The 18079-nt window shown below is 40.8% G+C and overlaps 1 protein-coding gene across 3 annotated transcripts in view; it reads left to right on the top strand.

Moving 5' to 3' along the window:
- The window catches only part of ASTN2 (astrotactin 2), a 991946-nt gene that overhangs the window by 372478 nt on the left and 601389 nt on the right, over positions 1–18079 (top strand). For all 3 annotated transcript variants that reach the window (NM_014010.5, NM_001365069.1, NM_001365068.1), the window contains one exon: positions 2615–2761. In NM_014010.5, coding sequence (NP_054729.3) covers positions 2615–2761 — 147 coding nt within the window. The remainder of the gene's footprint in view (positions 1–2614; positions 2762–18079) is intronic.

Here is an 18079-nt window from a genome sequence, read left to right as displayed (position 1 = left end):
TTCATTTTTCTCTGTAGTTATTTTAGGTTTTAGAGATTCCCCATCTTTGGACACTGGAATCACCTTTTTATGTAATTTAATTTACTCTTCTATTTAACATTTATTCTAAAACTACAATAACCACAATCTCATGTATAGTTCCTACCATAAGCCATGCATTGTCCTAGGACTGAGAAAAAAGACAAGGGTCTTGTTCTTAAATTAAGTAACTTCTGGGTTCCAGGTGGTGATTTTGGCATAAGAAACACAAAGATGATGAAGGTGGGATCTTCTCCTTCAAGCAGGTCACTGTTTATTAAGAAAAATAGATTTCCATACAGGCAATACCCCAACGGGCTGTTGTAACGGTTCTTGTTCTGTTGTAATCCAATGTTACAACAGAATAATAGCCGATGTTCTGTTGTATGGCCAGTGTTGGATGTTGGCTAGCATGCTTTTTGGTTGGTCAGCATCTATGTTATGTTGGTTTTTAATATTGTTACTGTCATTTATGGGAGTCATCATGCACTTACTGAGATTCTGCAATGAGCCAGTCACTGTGCTATTTACTGGGACATAATGGTAAGCAAAAGACGCTGCTTGCCTTCAAGGAGTTGGCTGTCTATTTACTAGACTCTAGTGTTTGGAATAAGGTATGAGGGGAAACACAATGAATATGGGTAGTTTATCTACCAAGAGCATATGAAATCTTTATATATGGTGAGTCTCAAAGAGTGATGGGGTGACAAGGAAACAAGTGGATTTCTATCCAAAAGGAAAAACACCTGCACTAATGTTAACATGATGAAGAGTGTTAATGGTAGGAGCACTGCAGTAATTCAGCCCTGCTAGTCTTTAGGCCAGAGCACAGGAGGTATGAGTGTTGGGAGTCTTCATGAAAGGCCTTGGATGCCAGTCTAATGAATATGGATCACATCCTGCAACCAGATGCTGTAAAACAGCTTGAGAGGTTTCAGCAGGGAGTGCAGTGAACAGATATGCGTGCACCTCCCTTATCCCACAAGCAAACATACAATAGAAGAGATGAAGGGAAGAGGTGAAAATGCTGAGGACATAGAATAAATAGCACTACACAACTCTTCAGATGCTGTAAAGGAGGAAGACAGAAACTCAAAGGTGACATCTCAGTTTCTGGCCAGTCTAAATGGCAGTGCTTTCAATAAGCTGAGGATCTCAGGAGGGGGAGGCTTTAAGGAGAAGATAATGTACCCTGTTTTGAACGTGTTATTAATATATTTGACATTCTAATTGGATAGCCACAGAAAGATATCCAGGAGATGAGAGACAAGGTTTGCTTAAAAGAAGAGCCTAGCAGTAAAAAAAAAAATTGTGGAGGCATTGCTCTAAAACTGGTAAGCAAAACCTTGAAGAACAAAGCCTAAAGAATGAGAAACAAACGGGGACTCAAGACAGCCTCCATAGAATTTCTTTGTTGGCCCAGTGTCGTCTAGCTGTGCAGATCCAATCTACTTTTCGTATTATATCCATAAAATTGTCTTTAATTTTCAGAGGCAAAACCACCCCCCGTACTCTCTGCCCTCTCTTCTAGGTCGTAACACAATTTGTGTTAGAATCTAATTAGCTATGGATAAGCTTGACTTTTCCCCCTAGCCTATAAAATCCTGAAGAGGAAAGATTATTCTTCTGCTCTGTATGTGTCTCACATAGTAGCTGCTCAGTAAACGCTTGTGAAATTCATTTGAACTGATCAGCTTCTAACCGTGAAACTCTTCTAAATGACAGGCATGATATACAAATCATGCTGTGTAATTGTCACAAGAACCCTGTGAGATATTTATTATCTTCGTGTTATATATAAAGAAACTGAAGTGGTGGCTTATGCCTGTAATCCCAGCACTTTGGGAGGCTGAGGCGGGTGGATCACCTGTGGTCAGGAGTTCCAGACCAGCCTGGCCAACATGGTGAAAACCCGTCTCTACTAAAAATACAAAAATTAGCTGGGCTTGGTGGTGGGTGCCTGTAATCCCAGCTACTCAGGAGGCTGAAGTGGGAGAATCACTTGAACCCGTGTGGCGGAGGTTACAGTGAGCCGAGATTGTGCCACTGCACTCTAGCCTGGGCGACAAAGCGAGACTCCGCCTCAAACAAAAAAGAAAAAGAAAGAAAGAAACTGAGGTTTGGAAAATGGAGATCACAGAGCCAATGAGGGCCAAAGCCCAAATTTGAATCCAGAATGATCTAACTCCAAAGCCCATGCTTATTTCACTAGACTCTACTGAATTTAACAGCATGGTATCTTCTCACTTGCCTCTAAGGAGAATGGAGGGCTTAATATCATCTAATTGTTATCAAGAATGACCAACCGAATTGGGAAGGGAGGAGTGAAAATTGCCATGAGTTTCAGAAAGCCTGTTTCTTTTATGCTTACCCAAAGGAATCATAAGAAGCCCATTTTGCGGAGTGTTAAATCAAGGCCCAAAGAAGGCCCACTGAGGTGTCATAGCAGGCACAAAGGTTAGAAAACATGTCTTTTTTCTTTTCTTTTCTTTTTTCAGATTCCCAACTGGAAAATAATAGAATTCCCAAACTTGATGCCAATCCCATTTCCTCACCTCATGGAATTTTGTGTCTTTGTGTATGTTCTTGTTACCAGGTTTGCTGAAAAGCCCAGTGAACAAGACAGCCCTGACACTGATTGCTGTGAGTTCCTGCATCCTGGCCATGGTGTGTGGCAGCCAGATGTCTTGTCCACTCACTGTGAAGGTGACTCTGCATGTGCCCGAGCACTTCATAGCAGATGGTAAGAGCCGAGCATTGCAGATGCTCCACACCCACTCAGCACCTTGCACCCCTGACTGGTCAAAGGTTTCTGTGTATGGCCAAACCTTAGAATTACTATTACATATATTACAGGAGGAAAAAAAGGAGCATCTAAAGACCTTGGAAGAGGATCTTATCCTTTGTAATCTGGATTATTTGAATTAAATTAAAGACTGCTTTTATTTTTTTTAATTTTTTTTTCCTTTTACTCTAAGTTTGGGGATACATGTGCTGAACATGCAGGTTTGTTGCACAGGTATACATGTGCCATGGTGGTTTGCTGCACCTATCAACCCATCATCTAGCTTTTAAGCCCCGCATGCTTCAGGTATTTGTGCTAATGCTCTCCATCCCCTTTCTCCCCAACCCCCAACAGGCCCCAATGTGTGATGTTCCCCTCCCTGTGTCCATGTGTTCTCATTGTTCAGCTCCCACTTATGAGTGAGAACATGTGGTGTTTGGTTTTCTGTTCCTGTGTTAGTTTGTTGAGGATGATGGTTTCCAGTTTTATCCATGTCCCTACAAAGGACATGAACTCATTCCTTTTTATGGCTTCATAGTATTCCATGGTGTGTGTGTACCACATTTTCTTTATCCAGTAAAGACTACTTTTAACTTATGAGCAACGATAAAGTTTTAAAAATAAAGGAAGAATTCAAATGTGAATACAGAAAGATTGAGCTACTTCAGAGAACCTACTGACATTTATGACTGTGGATCCATTTCAAAATAAAAATGCCCCCCAAAGAGTATTTGCTAATTAGAATCATATGACAAGGAAGACTGTATGAGTTTTATTGGAATTTCCTGAATGTCTTGGATAATATTCATATGCTCATTCCCTGTAAATATACAAGTGTCTTATATTCTAGCATTTACTTTTCACCCAATTAAATTGAATTAATGAGACACTGTTGCCACCATAGTCATTAGCAAAGCATGGTCCAAGACCCTGATTAAGGTGGTTACTATCTATTGCTAAAGTGCCCTCCAGAAAAGTTGTCCCAGTTTACACATTCCAGGATATGTTGGCGTCTGTTTCTCAAACACTTCTCACATGCCATCACCGTCTTTAGCTGTATTGAAGTTTGGCATAATTATAATAAAGAAGGCATACCTTAACTGTGCAACTTAATAAATTTTTAGTTTTAGAACTTTTTACCCTTTAAAAATTGTATACATTTTACACTTTTTAAAATATATATGTCTCGATGAGTTTGAAGATAAGTAAATACCCATGAAATCATCACCATAAGGAATGCCATAAACGTAGCCATCACCTCTAAAAGTGTCTTCTCACTATAATTTTTTTGTGATAAGGACATGTAACAAGATTCCATATGAATCTACACAGATAAAATCATAGAATATTTCCAGCACCTCATATGGTTTCCTTGTGCCTCCTTCCAGTTAGTGCTCTGTAGACGCAATAAACTTTCTGACTTGTAGCACCATATTAGTACCATTAATTCTTTAAAAAAATTTTGCATTTTGATATGTATAGAACGTTTTTGAGATCCTTACCCTCTATTTGCCAGTCTTTCTTCAGTGAAATTTGATTTTATTTCCGTTAAGTTTCGGTATTCAGAACTTAGCACCATCCCTTCAGTATATTTTGACCAGAGAAAAGTGGAATTTTACCACCATTCTCTGAAACACTCAAACTTCTATTAATGCATCCTGATTGTTCCCACTTCACCGTAGTGCAGAAGCCCCTACTTGTTTTTCACTTGGACTGCAAATCAGTTCATATACATTCAGAACTTATATCTCTTATTTCATTTACATTCAGTTGATTTTCAGACCTATGTACAAGACTTTGGCTCATCTTTAGTGAGTCATATGTGCACATAAGACAAGTAAATGTGTGGTGGGGGAGATGGCAGGGAAAGCTGTAGGAAATCAGAAGGAACAAAATTTACAGAAGCAAATAGTTTGATGGATTACGCAGCTAGAAGAATTGTCAGAACCTGGAAGTGGCCAGAAAATGGCAATGGAGGAGTAGGAGTGATGAACACTGAGGTGGAAAAAAACAACAGAGCAAGTATTAAATTCTACAGAATGCATGTCCCCACCCTTCATCTCTCAGCTGTCACTACACATTAATTGTAGAATGTTAAGCCTTAAAGGCTTTCAAGTTTTACATATTTATTTTCATACATGTAGAAATGGAATCCCTGAGAAAATAACTTGCTCAAGATGAAACAGTTTAATGGCTAAGAGCACAGGCTTTGGAATACTACAAACATTAATCTAAATACTTGCTCCTTTGTCTGCCTCTTCGATAGCCAAGTGAATTCCCCTCTCTGAGCCTCTGTCTCTCCATCTATAAAATGTGGATAATAGTAGTACCTACCTCATAGGAGTATTCTGAAGACTACAACACCTACTTTTTTATCATGGTCATCAGATTTTCAGACAGCATGTGGCTGAGAAATGGTGAACAGCTGGGAAATAGCAAAATCAAGGGATTACCCGAGACAGCGGCAAACCGTCTTGATGATTTGGAAGGATAGACCAAAATGTGGTGAATTAAAAGGTGCCCTTTCTCGGTGTGCCCAATGTCATAAACTTAAAATTTTATAGCAGCCTGTGGAATTGTCTGTTTCTGCCTCTAGACTGGAATCTCTGTGAGGGCAGGAATTATGTCTTTGGGGAGAAATATTATATTCCCATTGATAAGCACAGTGCCTTGTCCATAATGGATATTCAGCAAATATGTGTCCAGTGGATGAATGTTGCCTGAATTAAAGCTGAGTTGTTCATTGTTCTATAGAATCCTTCTGGTAGATCTCTAAGCACACAACAGATACTGAATCAAGGAAAACTAAGGCAGATGATGCATAGAAATCAAGATGTTTTAAAATATACCTGTGAAGTTTTAAAATGTACCCAGGATTTGTCTGCAGATGCCGAAAGGACTGTTGTGAAACAAGCAGTTTTCATACTAACAGATCTCAGATACACAATGCACAGCACACCATGCAGACCATGTGGGAAAGCACCCGTATCTATCAGCAGGCAGAGGGACCAAGTGGAAAGCAGGGGAAAGAGCCTGTATTATGGTTATTGCAGGAAGAAATGGGTGAGGCAGTGTAAGCAGGATAGACAGATTTGAGATTGGCCAATTTGAATAACTTTAGCAGGCTCTGGGGTTTCAGAACTGCTCCTGATTGCCTGGTATCTGGCCCTGGGGGGATGAAGGGAGAGAATATTCCTTCCCAATGTGTATAAGCCATATAGAGGAGATGATTGGAGTGTAGGTTCTGGATTGGTTAATTTTCATATGAAAGGGATGCTCCCTGGACAAGTCTTTTGCTTTCTGTAAGATATGACTATCCTTGGAGGGGAGGGTTCTCCCCAGTCAGGAGGCTCAGATGCCAGAGCATCAAGCATCCAGAAAATAAGAAAATATAATTAATACAAAAGAAAAAGAGAAATAACTACGGAGTATACACATCCTGGAGATGCGATGGAGCAAGCTTAGAAGACAGCATTGGGAAGACCTTGTCCACAGTATCTTAGTCTCCAGGCATAATGGAATCTCCATCCCTTACATGCCATAATATCTTGGTAGGAATGTGTCCTTTCAAATGAAGTAAGTTTTGGTTTGGATCTCAATTTTGTTGCTTAGTTACTGTGAAACATAGAAGAGTCAAGTTAGCTATCTGAGTCTCATTTTTCTCACCTATCTGTAAAATAAGGATTATTATGGGATGATTGAACGTTATAATGTGTATAAAGTGCCTAGTAGAGTGTCTAAAACATTGTGATAGCCCAACAAATGGTAGCTGTTATTACTCTTATTATTAAAACAGTTTGTAGAGAAAGAGACTTCAGAAGCTGGAATATGGCAAGGCAAGAAAATATAGAAAACTAAATAGGTGAATTTAGCTACTCTCAGTGAGGTGAATGGAAAAGGGAATACATTATATGCTCTGTTCCAGCCAAAAGTGACTTTCCCACTTGAAGACGTTAACACTTGAAACTCCTCCATCTCTGGGGCTTGGCAGGAATCCTGGGAGCATCCAGCATTTGAAGCCAGGTGGATGGCTGTCTGGTAATCCCAATCAAGCTCACCTTCCCCAGCATGATCCCAATGCCTCCTTTGGCAGAAACTCTATCAGTGCTGCTCATCTCATTCCTCCAACAGCTCTCCAAAGTGGTCTTTATTATCCACCTTTGGCAGATACAGAAACTGGGATATGAAGGGGAGTAGAATCAAATCTTCTGTAGGAGTAGAGAAGGATCTAGAAAATTGATTTTATAAATTGTACTACTGGAGTTTCCAGCTCTGATTTCTGGAGATATGAGGGTATTACATAGGGGGATGAGAGGGAAAGCGATAATAGTGCCTATTTTCTTGAACCCATGTCATCCGTTAGCATTGATATTTATAAATGTGTTACAACCTAACATAAATGTGGTGACAAACACAGATGGAAAGTGCACAATTCTATGATATTTTACATATATGTATTCACCCACATCATAATACTGGCCCCTTAAAACTGGCAAAGTTTTAAAAAACAAGAAAAACAAAGTCTCAATGAGGTCTGTCAGGATGAGGGCAGCTCATGTCAAGTGCAAGAAGCTCCATTTGAGACCAGGTCTCCCAGGGACCAAAGCCAGAGCAGCTTTCATCCTTTTTCAGTCACCCCCATGAGTTCCAAGCTGCCCAGGTGCTGGCCCTTCTTAGTAGAGAGAGCTCTCAGCTACCATTACACATTGAGCTGTCCGTGGTGCTGGATCATTGGATGGGGCTGAGTAATGGGTCCTGTCTTCCAGGAGAAAATGAATTCTGCCCTTGTGTTACTGCATAGTTATACTCAATGTTTACTGTCGATTATAAAGAAAAGGTCATTATGACATAGCACTTGTCCAGAGCCCAGCTGGCAAGAGTTCTGACACAGTTCCTATCCAAACCCTTGGCAAATCTCACCCCTTCTTTTATCTGGGCTTCTTCAAAGCCATCAGTGGCTTTTTGCCCTCCTAAGCACACACTGAAGAAATGGAACATGTTTGCATCTAAACAGACTTAAGCTAGTGTTGTTTATCCAGCTGTGAACTACAAATCGTCTGCATTTAGGTTATCTGGGGAGATAATTCCCAGAACCAGTGAGTCAGATTCTCTGAGGGTAGAGCCCACATATTAATATTCTTTACAAGAACTCTCTAGGTGGTCACTTATCAAGGCTTCGAGAGCTGTGTCAATAATTCTTTAAGTGTTACTTTTTTTCCATCTAACATATGTGATCACTTCTTCAGACTCCTTGGAATCATTATAAGCATCTTTAATAAGGGTCTTTGGTTTCCTCCACCTTTGACTTTATCAATGCCCTACTAATGGAGCTGCCTCATAGCATAACTCCAGTAACTATCATTAGCATTGGATATAATGTGAGTGGTCTATTCTTAAGGTTTATAACATACTAACCCTGATCACACAGGTTTGGACCTCATCAAAATTGCCATGCAGTTAGCCTCATTGAGAAATAGTTATTGGTTAATATTAAACACCTATCTTAGCTGAGATGCTAGTTTATGCATCTACTGAGGTTCCCAATGTAAGTGGGCATATATTCACCCAATGTGGTCAGCCAATAGAAGAGTCTGCTTTTAAAGGAACAAGCTATCTAGGTGAAGTAGGTGAGATGGTTCCACTCCAGTGTAGGCAGGTAACAGTCCACCTAGAATTCCCTGTTTTGTTCCAAGACTTGTTATACATTGGAAGTTATTCAAGTGAGAGGATTTGGCAGCCACAAGATTGAAAAAGCACTGTAGATACCTAATGACCTCTTAAGGAAAGGATGGAAGACATTCATTCAATAACAAGCGTTGAAGGAACCTAGACAGGAAGGGAACCTACTATTATTGAGCATGTCTGTTATCTATTGAGTAGCACACAAAGCACTTTACACAGGGTTCTTCCTTCAGTTCTCATAGCAAAATTGAGAGTCTGGATTTAGTATCCTCATTTTGCGTACGTGAAAAGTGGGGCTCAGGGATGCTAGGTGGTTTTACGAGATTAACACATAGATGACGTGGTATGAAAACTTAAGCCTACCTGAGCCCCCAGTCTAAGGTTCTTCTATGCTCTAAGCTTCCAGAGAGGAGACCAGGATAATTATTATTTATTTTGAAGAGAGCAGGCTAGTTCTGGAAGTCCTAAGGAAGCAAAACTAGACAGATATATGGGTAATGAGTATGGTCAGGGATGGGAGAAGATGAAGCCTTGGTTTGGAAACGTCTTCCTCTACTGTTGACTGTGTGACTTGTGCTAGTTACTTAAACATTTTAAGCTTCAGTTACATTATCTATAAATTGGGGATAATAGCAGTACTTATAAAGTTATTGCTAAGAATAAGTGAAATAATGCTCATAAAGCTTTTAGCTCAATACCTAAGACCTAGTAATGGTTCAATAAATTATATAAATGTTAGAAGTAGTAATAATATTTTCTTAATATTGGAAGGGGGTCATTGCAGGGTAATGAGTTCCCCATCATAGAAAATCTCCTGAGAATAGATGACCACATTTTTACAAAGCTGTAGAAGAGAGGGGAAGAGAAGCGTTTGGTTTGAATCATGATATTTTGTTTTGGAGCCATATTATCAAACTGTAAATTTTAAAACCACTTAATTTTTTAGGACTTTTAGAATATGTTTCTTTATTCCTTAGTACTTCACACAGAGTGTCACCAATTCTTTGCGTAGGCTCAGAAATGGGTGAAAACAAGGGATGTCTGTGTCTCTTGAATATGTTACTTAGCTAAACTCACAGACACACACAATTTTATATATTGATATGATTGTTGCATCAAAATACCTATGCTAAAATGTCTTTTTATTCAGGTTATTTTAAATGGTTAACATCATCTTTTAGGTTGAACTAAGTTGATATCCAAGTCTTCTCTGTTCCCTATGACTGAGATATTTGGGATCTGAGTATGGCTTCTTAGCCCATGAAATCATCAAGTATAAATGCCCACACATTGGGATGGCATGGTTCACTAATATGCCACACATGTAGCTGGTTTTGAGCATAAAATTGTGAATAATAACACTTGTCTACATTTATTTGCTCTCATCCCTACTTGATGTCCTCCATCCCAGAAGAGTGAGCTAATGCATGACTTTGTGCTGTTAGAGAGGAAAGAGGTCCATAATTGGCTTCAGAACTAGTTTGCAGTGATTTGAATACATGGAAGGAGTATTTTCAATTCTTAGAAGGGAAAATGACACCACATTGTAAGTGGATCCTTAGCCACAAACTGCCAAGCACTTTATTTAAAACGAGTAGTTCCTTGGACATCCTGCTCTATGAAATCATCCCAGGCTTTGTTTTAAAATGCTCCATGTTGACTGCAGATCTTTGAATACTGTGGAACATGCTTATGGGTGGAAGTTCTGTACAATATGGCTTCTGTCTTTTTCTTTGTTAACTCATTTGCACAGCCTTGATGCTGTTTAGACAAATAGACTGTCCTACCTGGTATCTGCCTCTCTATATACCTTTGCTTGTACATTCCTCTCCATCATATATTTCCATATATGGCAGTCTCACCCATCTCTAAGGCATAACTTAGTTTGCTCCCTCCTCTAGAAAACCTTCTTCAATGAATCCTTAGAGACAAATAATATCACCTCTCATGAACATTACCTAGAATTATATTTGTGCCTTTCTAATGACTTCAGTCTAACTCCTATTACTGTTACTGTTACTGTTACATATGTGTCATTGAGACAACTGCCACAGTCCTGAAAACTGGCCTCCTGCTTTAAGTCTAGGCTCTCTCCTATCTTTTATTAACAATGCAAACAGAGCCATCTTTTACAATGAAAATATCAAAACATCGCATACATGTATTACATACGTGTCATACTTTCCATAAATCTGTTTATTGTCTTCTTTTTTACTTGTTTTGAAGACTGAACTTCTTATTGTGGCCTTTGCATCCTTGCAAGGTCAGGCCCCTGCCCGCCTTTCCAGTCTTACGTCACACCACCTCTCCATATATTGGCTCTTAAATTTCTCTGTTGCCTCCTGCCTCAGGCCCTTTGCACATGGTGTTTTCTTTGCCTGAAAACTTCTTCCCACATCTCTAGTTTCTCTCATTTACCCTAGGGTAATGCCTCTGTTAGCTCCCTTATGAATCATTCTCCTTGAGCCCTGCTTTTTTTCTGTATTATATTTATTTCAATGTATAATTTTAAATTTATCTAGTTAATGTTGTTCTCTCTTGCTAGGTTTCAAGTTCCATAAGGATAGAGATTACATTTGTTTTGCACATTATGTTCAGAACCTTGGACAGGATCCAAAACATACTTGATGCCCGCTAAAAGGCTTTCACTGAATTTTTTTGTAAAGTTAATTCAATGGTTAGACTTAAATTTTTTCAAGGGCAAGGACCACAGCTTATTCATGTTCTAACTTATTGTGATGCCTAACAGGGATTCTGACTCAGTAGGCATATAAGAAATTGTGTCTGTAAAAAACGAAGTAAGGGAGGACCGACGGTGGACCCAGAAGCCCTAAGAAGATACATCAAAAAGAATGACAGTGCAGGAGGTCTGAGGCTGCCTCTTCTTCTATGATTGACTTCACTCCCCAAGGATGTTGCTCCCATCCCCAAAAATAAACTCCAATCAAATTCACACACCCCTCCTCAACACCAAAATGAAACAAGCTTCATCCCAGAGCCCAGAAAGAGGGGAAATATAAATTGGGCTGAGATTCAGAACCCCCATAGGGGAGGTGGCAATGAAATACCAATAAACCATATTAATATGCTGAAATCAGGGAGAATAGCTTGAACTCCAACCCAGACTTAATAACTATACGTGAGAGAGTACAGGGAGAAGGCAAGGCTAGGCTTCAGTCAGAATTAAAATGAGATCTGTAATGAAATTGGTAATATAATTATAAACTGTGAAAACTTTTTTTCACTTCTTCTTTTTCTTGTACTTAATGGCCAACTTGCTCGGCAATGGCTGGGAGCTGTGGATACCCCCTAGAGTAGAATTCTTTTTTTTTTTTCTTCAAATCTCTTCATTAGGAATGTCTAAATCCATAAAACCATGGAAGAAAAAAAATTTAAGCCATTTTCTGCCTTAAATAGTAACTGATCCCCAGGTTAAAATGACAAGTGGCTTGGGGGAGAACAAACCCAGAAAAACCATTCTAAGCAGCTGAACATGTTCAAGCTTTTAAAGATACCACAGCAGCCAGTGGGACTGGGATTTTTAATGACACTCTGTGCTAAGATGTTAGCTTGGCTTCCAACCAGAATGAATCATTACTAATTTTCCTTCATAACAAAAGAGATAACTGAGTTTGACGTCCAAAATTGGAGACTAATTTCTGTGTTTTGATAGCAGATTGAGTCCAAAAATATGTTCCCAGGAACTGGGGCAGAGGGTTGTTGCAAGGAGTAGGCAAACTCAATTTTCTCTCATTAATAATTCCGTTCTGTTGTTGTGAACAGAAGGCCACTTTGACTTTTAGAACGGAAAGAGAGAATGCTGGGTGGGAGCTTTGATGAGATTGACTTCAAGTCTATAGAGTTAGTTGTTCCATAATTATTGGCTTAAGGTTTGCCAAATAGTGTATAATGAGGCAGTGGAGTAATCCACAGGAGAAAGAAGGTAGTATGGTAAAGACATTAAGTGGATTGATCTGTGGCCCAGGAGATGTGCATTCCAGACCTGTTCATCTGCTTTCTAGTTTTGTGACCTTGGGTATATTAATTCCCCTCCTAAACTTCAGCGTTTTTTTTAAATCTAAAAACATGCTAATACTCCCTCCTTCAAAGAGTATTAGTGGGCTGATTCATTTAAAAGTATTTTGTCAACTGTGAGGGTAGTTATGATTATGAGAATGTTGTGACTTTTCCTCACTGTTTGCAGCTTTAATATGTATAAAGAAAACCTTAGGGTTGGAATAGGGTCTTGGCAGGTAAGGCTAGGTAAGGAAAAGGTAGAATATTAGGGGGGTTGGCCTCCCTTGGCTAGAAGAAGGAAGATAGATAGTTAAAATGCATTAATAACACCACTCTTTTATTCTTATATAGTGTTCTGCTTCTTCCCTTTCTTCCTTCCTTTTCTCCTTCATTTTTTTTTCCTCCCATGGTCAACAAACGTTTGCATACCATACTCTCTGTGGCATGCTCAGATACTGGGGTGGAGAGACAGATAAAACACCATCTCCGGCCTTCTCCAGCTTAGTGGTGGTGGGACATGCCAAGTCAATAAATGATGACTCAGTGTGAATGATTCATAATGGGATTGTCCTAGATGCTGTGGAGACACCGATGGGCACACAAGTATCCCAAGCTGGAGATGGGAAGAAGGTGTCTTAAGGAGGTGCTACTTGAGCTACATCTTAGAGCCATTGACACTTATCTGGAGAAGGGCAATGGATGATTGCAGGCTTCCCAGGGAGGGGCATGGACACATGTCAGTGCATCCTATAGATCCTGTTTTTCAAACCTCCCAATGGTTGCAATAACACTGGTAATGATTAGAAATGTTTACGGAAGAGTTGCTAAGTGCCAGGTCCTGTGCTAAGTACTTTGCAAGGTATTACCTTGTTTCATTCTATTACCTCATGAAGTAGATCCAGTTATTATCCTCAAATTTAAGGGACACATAAAAATTGAAAGGTCATGTATGCCTAGGGAGGTTATATGACCATCTTAGTGTTACACAGGTGGGAAGAGGTTGAACAGAATTATTTTGAATCAACATCCACAGAATGTGATAGAGAATTTGATGACTAAGATCATCCTCCAGCTCCTCTATGAATTCACTCCATCTTTGGACAAATCTCTACTTCTTCAGGCCTCAGTTTCTTCATTGTAAAATGTAGGAGGGGAACAAGGTGGTACTTAAGATTCTTCCCTGCCCCAGTATCTTAAATGGAGAGGGAGAAATACTGGGGTTCAAAGTCCCTTTTTACTTATCTCATGATGGACATGACCTTCCAAGTCCTTATGCAGCCATCACATTAGTGTCCCAGGTACTCTGTCTTCAGACTGCTTTGGGCCAAACTGCTGTCATGCAGCCCCCTGAACAGGGAGGTAGGGAGCAGAGACAGCTGAGCAAACAGCTGAGCCCACAAGTTGCCATTTGAAGACAGCTTAGAAGGATCACATCCAAGCTTGTGGAGGGACTTCAGGCTCCCAAGGCTGCCTGGATGAAAAATAAAGTAGTGGGAAGCCTGGCCCCTCCGCAGCTTCCCCTCTCAGCCCCAGCTGAAGAGGGACCTTGAGCATCTCTGATGCCAGTGGGAGTCTGGGAGGGGAAGAATGCATTGTATTCACATGGGAAAGGATAAGATGGGAGGAATAATTAACACCTGTGCATCCTGCTCCCCCTTCCCCAGCGCTGCTACCCAGCAAAGCCTTGCTATTTGGCTTTTCTCCCCAGCACATTCCTCTGGATTATGTAAGCCAAATATATCTGCAGCTGCTCAGCCTTGGGTTTTCCAGAAGCTCTTGGCAACTTTCTGAACCTCAGCTAATGGCTGGGGCATCTCATCATCAGCTGGAGTGATCCCCAGAGCCTGGACCATCCTTGAACCTTCTGTTTATTCACTCCCTGGCTTTAACTCTGGCTTCCATTTAAACTTTATCAGTGAGTCTGTACATTCAAACTTTCAGCTGACATTTGCTGAGTGCCTGCTCAGGGCCAGACTTAGATTCTGGGATTAACTCAGGCACAGTCAGCATTAAAGGTGGGTGAGGTGGGGGAAAGAACATGGGATTTGGAATCTTAAATCCTCAGGTTTAAATCTACACTCCTCCACTTACTAATTATGGATCTTGGACGAGTCACTGTACTTCTCAGAACCACCAATTTTACCATCTATTAAAGTGAAGCTATAAGCCCCTACTTCACAGGGTGGTGGTGAGGGTGAAATAGAGAGTGGCATAACAATAGCCAAAAATAGGTGGTTAGAAAATGCCAATCACACCCTCACAGGGATCACATGTGTCATTTAAAATGTTAGGATAACTATATAGCAAAAGGCTACTATGGAAGGTAGATGATAATCTGAACCATCAGGACATATAGACAGGAGTCAGCCAGGTTGTCAGGGAAGCTTGGAGTCTTTTCCACTGGGCAGATCTGGGTAAAGCTTCAAGGAGCAAGAGGATTCTGCTAGCATCTTTTCCCATTTGAGGAAACTGGATGGGCAGGGATTGGGAGTGAGAATGTGCACTTCTGTTGGAGGTGGGGGGAGAGAGGGAGGACAAGAAGGGCAATCTTCCAGGTAAAGAGAACAGCATGAGCAAAGGTGTGGCAGGAGCAGGTAGCACCCAGCAAGGCTGGGGCTCCATGGGGGCATGAATGGATCTAATGGGAGGGTTTACCCAGGAAGAGCAGTTGGGATTTTATCCTGGAGGTTGGGAGTTATGGAAGCACTGAAGGATTTTAATAAAAGGAGTGGAAGAGTCACAGTTGCTTTTACAAAGGGCAAGGCAGCTTGTTAATTCAGAGTTCAGGCTGTGGAGTCAGACATACCTAGGTTCAAATGCTAGCTGCATGAAATAATAGATAATAGATGCTACCAGTGTTACTTAACCCTTCTGGGTTATTTCTTAATCTGTAGGGTTGGGAGAATCAAATGAGATTATATTTCTAAAGTACTTGGTAATGTTCATTTTTATTGGAATTGCCATCACCGTCCTTTCAGTCTAAGTCGAGTCTCCTTGTTAAATGGTCCTGAACTACTACTTTTTGCATTCAGTACATTTGCAATTACTTCTTCAATGTCTAATTTGGTTAAGAGTCTGGGCTACAGAATCTCACTGCCAGAGTTTGATACCTGCCTCTGATATTTTGTAGCTATGTAGCCTTAAGTTATTTAACCTCTCTAAGCCTCGTTTGTGCATCTGTGAAATGGGGAATGTCACAGTAAACCACCTTAAAGGGTGATCTTGCGTAGCACATATTCCATACTTGGAAAACAATAGCCCCTTCCAAAGCTACTTTAAGGCCCTTATTGGCAGAGAGTGTAGCTGTCTTGTTCCTTTGTAATCCCCAGTACACAATCAGTGTTCAATAAAGATTTGTTTAATGACTGATCACAATGTGAAAGGTGAATCTGAGGTTGCCTAAGCTGGCGACAAGGAACCTGATAGGCGCTGCCATATTGAGTTCATAAGATAATGCCTGAACAAGGGCATTAAATGTGAAAATAAAGAAAAAAGAGTTCCTGTAGAGCTAGAAAAAGGAAATATAGCAACTAACTACAAGTAGAGACCAAGGAAGAGGAAGAGTCAAAGATGATGTGGCATCTGCCACCTGGGATCCCTGAAAGGTTGATGACCCCAGACATCAATCAACATAAGAAGCCCAATTGAGTTGAGGAAGCCTTGTAAGAATAATCCCCTTTTTGTAAAGCTGTGAGGTGTGGTGGTTATGAGCTTCAACACCAATGCCAGAGTACATGGGTTCAAATCCTAACTAAGCTTCATCTTCTGAAAAATGGGGATGCTAAAACACCAGAAATTAGACTGTTATTGTGAGAACTAAATGGTTGTTCATTTCAAGGGCCTGGCCCATGGTAACCACACTCAAAAACTAGGGACTGTTACAATTCCGCTGAAGCACCAGCATCCCGATGTGAGACCAAAGATCAGATGCCTACTTCTTGGCTACATATTTAGATTTAAAAAAAAAAGAAAGAAAAGAAAAAAATACAAGCAACTTTAAAGAACACACAATAGGCTGGGCATGGTGGCTCATGCCTGTAATCCCAACACTTTGGGAGGCTGAGGTGGGCAGAATACTTGAGGTCAGGAGTTCGAGACCAGCCTGACCAACACAGTGAAACCCTGTCTCTACTAAAAATACAAAAAATAGTCCAGCTACTCAGGAGGCTGAGGCAGGAGAATCACTTGAACCTGGGAGGTGGAGGGTGCAGTGAGCCAAGATCACGCGACTGCACTCCAGCCTGGGCAACAGAGCGAGACTCTGTCAAAAAAAAAAAAAGAAAAGAAAAGAAAAAAGAAAAACCACAATATTAGAACCTTTACAAATGCTGCCTGGATAAAAGTTATTAGTAGGAGATGTCACTGTGTCCTGCGAGTAAAATTAATTTGCCGGATCTCTGAAGGCTGCTCCCCTGAAGGTTTGAATCACTGGAGTAATATCTCAGGTGACATCTCACTGCAGTATTTGAACCAGGGTGGAGGATGAGAGAGTGATCAGTCTGTGGCACCCACATGAGTGTTAACATGACCTATGAGTTTCAAGGTTCCAGGGCCAGCCATTCCCTGCAAAGACTCAAATGAAGCATTAATGTGCTGGGCAGTGGACTTTCTATGGAAGCAGAGGCCTGAAAAAAGATACAGAGGCCTGGTGATGGGAGCTGGTGTCACACTTGAAATGTGGAATCAATTAAAGATGGCAGCTTCTGCTACCCCAAAAGGGGGGGCATGAGTACAGGGGTGAGGGCACATTGTGGGCATATTGCCAAGTAGCTAGTTGGCAGTTTTCTAAAGTGTAGAATGTTAGAGCCAGAAACTATTTTGAGCCTAATCTTAGCCCATTCTCCTCCTTGGGCATCTCATCCTCAGGCCAAATGAAATAGCTATTTCCTGAAGGCCCAGACTCTGTTTTGTTTCTTTGCAGCATTTCTTTCCTTTTGCCTAAATCCCTTTGCCGCTTGTATTAGTCTGTTCTCACGCTACTAATAAAGATATACCCGAGACTCGGTAATCCTAGAGGAAGGAGGTTTGACTCACAGTTCCACATGGCTGGGGAGGCCTCACAATCATGGCAGAAGGCAAGGAGGAGCAAGTCACATCTTACATGGTGGCAGGAAAGAGAATGAGAACTAAATGAAAGGGCTTTCCCCTTATAACCATCAGATCTCATGAGACTTATTCACTACCATGAGAACAGTATGGGGGAAACTGCCCATAATTCAATTATCTCCCACCAGGTCCCTCCCACAACATATGGGAATTATGGGAGCTACAGTTCAAGATGAGATTTGGGTGTGGACACAGCCAAAGCATAGCACCCCTCTACTCCATTTAGCTGCTTTCTTATATTGAACTCAATATAAGGAAGTGTGACAGCTCAAGTGTGACCGTTTGTAGGAAGCATTCTCTGACTTTGCAGAGGAGGTGAGCATCCCTGCTCTGTGTGCCCAAAGCTTCCTGTTTTATCTTTATCACTACACTGATTATGTTCTATTATAATGGTCTATCTTGTCATCTCTCAATTGAACCATACACTACTTTCGGGCAGGGACTCTTTCTTCCACTTTTATAACCACCCCC

The sequence above is a fragment of the Homo sapiens genome, chromosome 9 (genome assembly GCF_000001405.40).
Source record: "Homo sapiens chromosome 9, GRCh38.p14 Primary Assembly".
Classification (NCBI taxonomy): Eukaryota; Metazoa; Chordata; class Mammalia; order Primates; family Hominidae; genus Homo; species Homo sapiens.
Note: the sequence above shows the minus strand (reverse complement) of the source record. Positions and strands in the feature narration are given on the sequence as shown.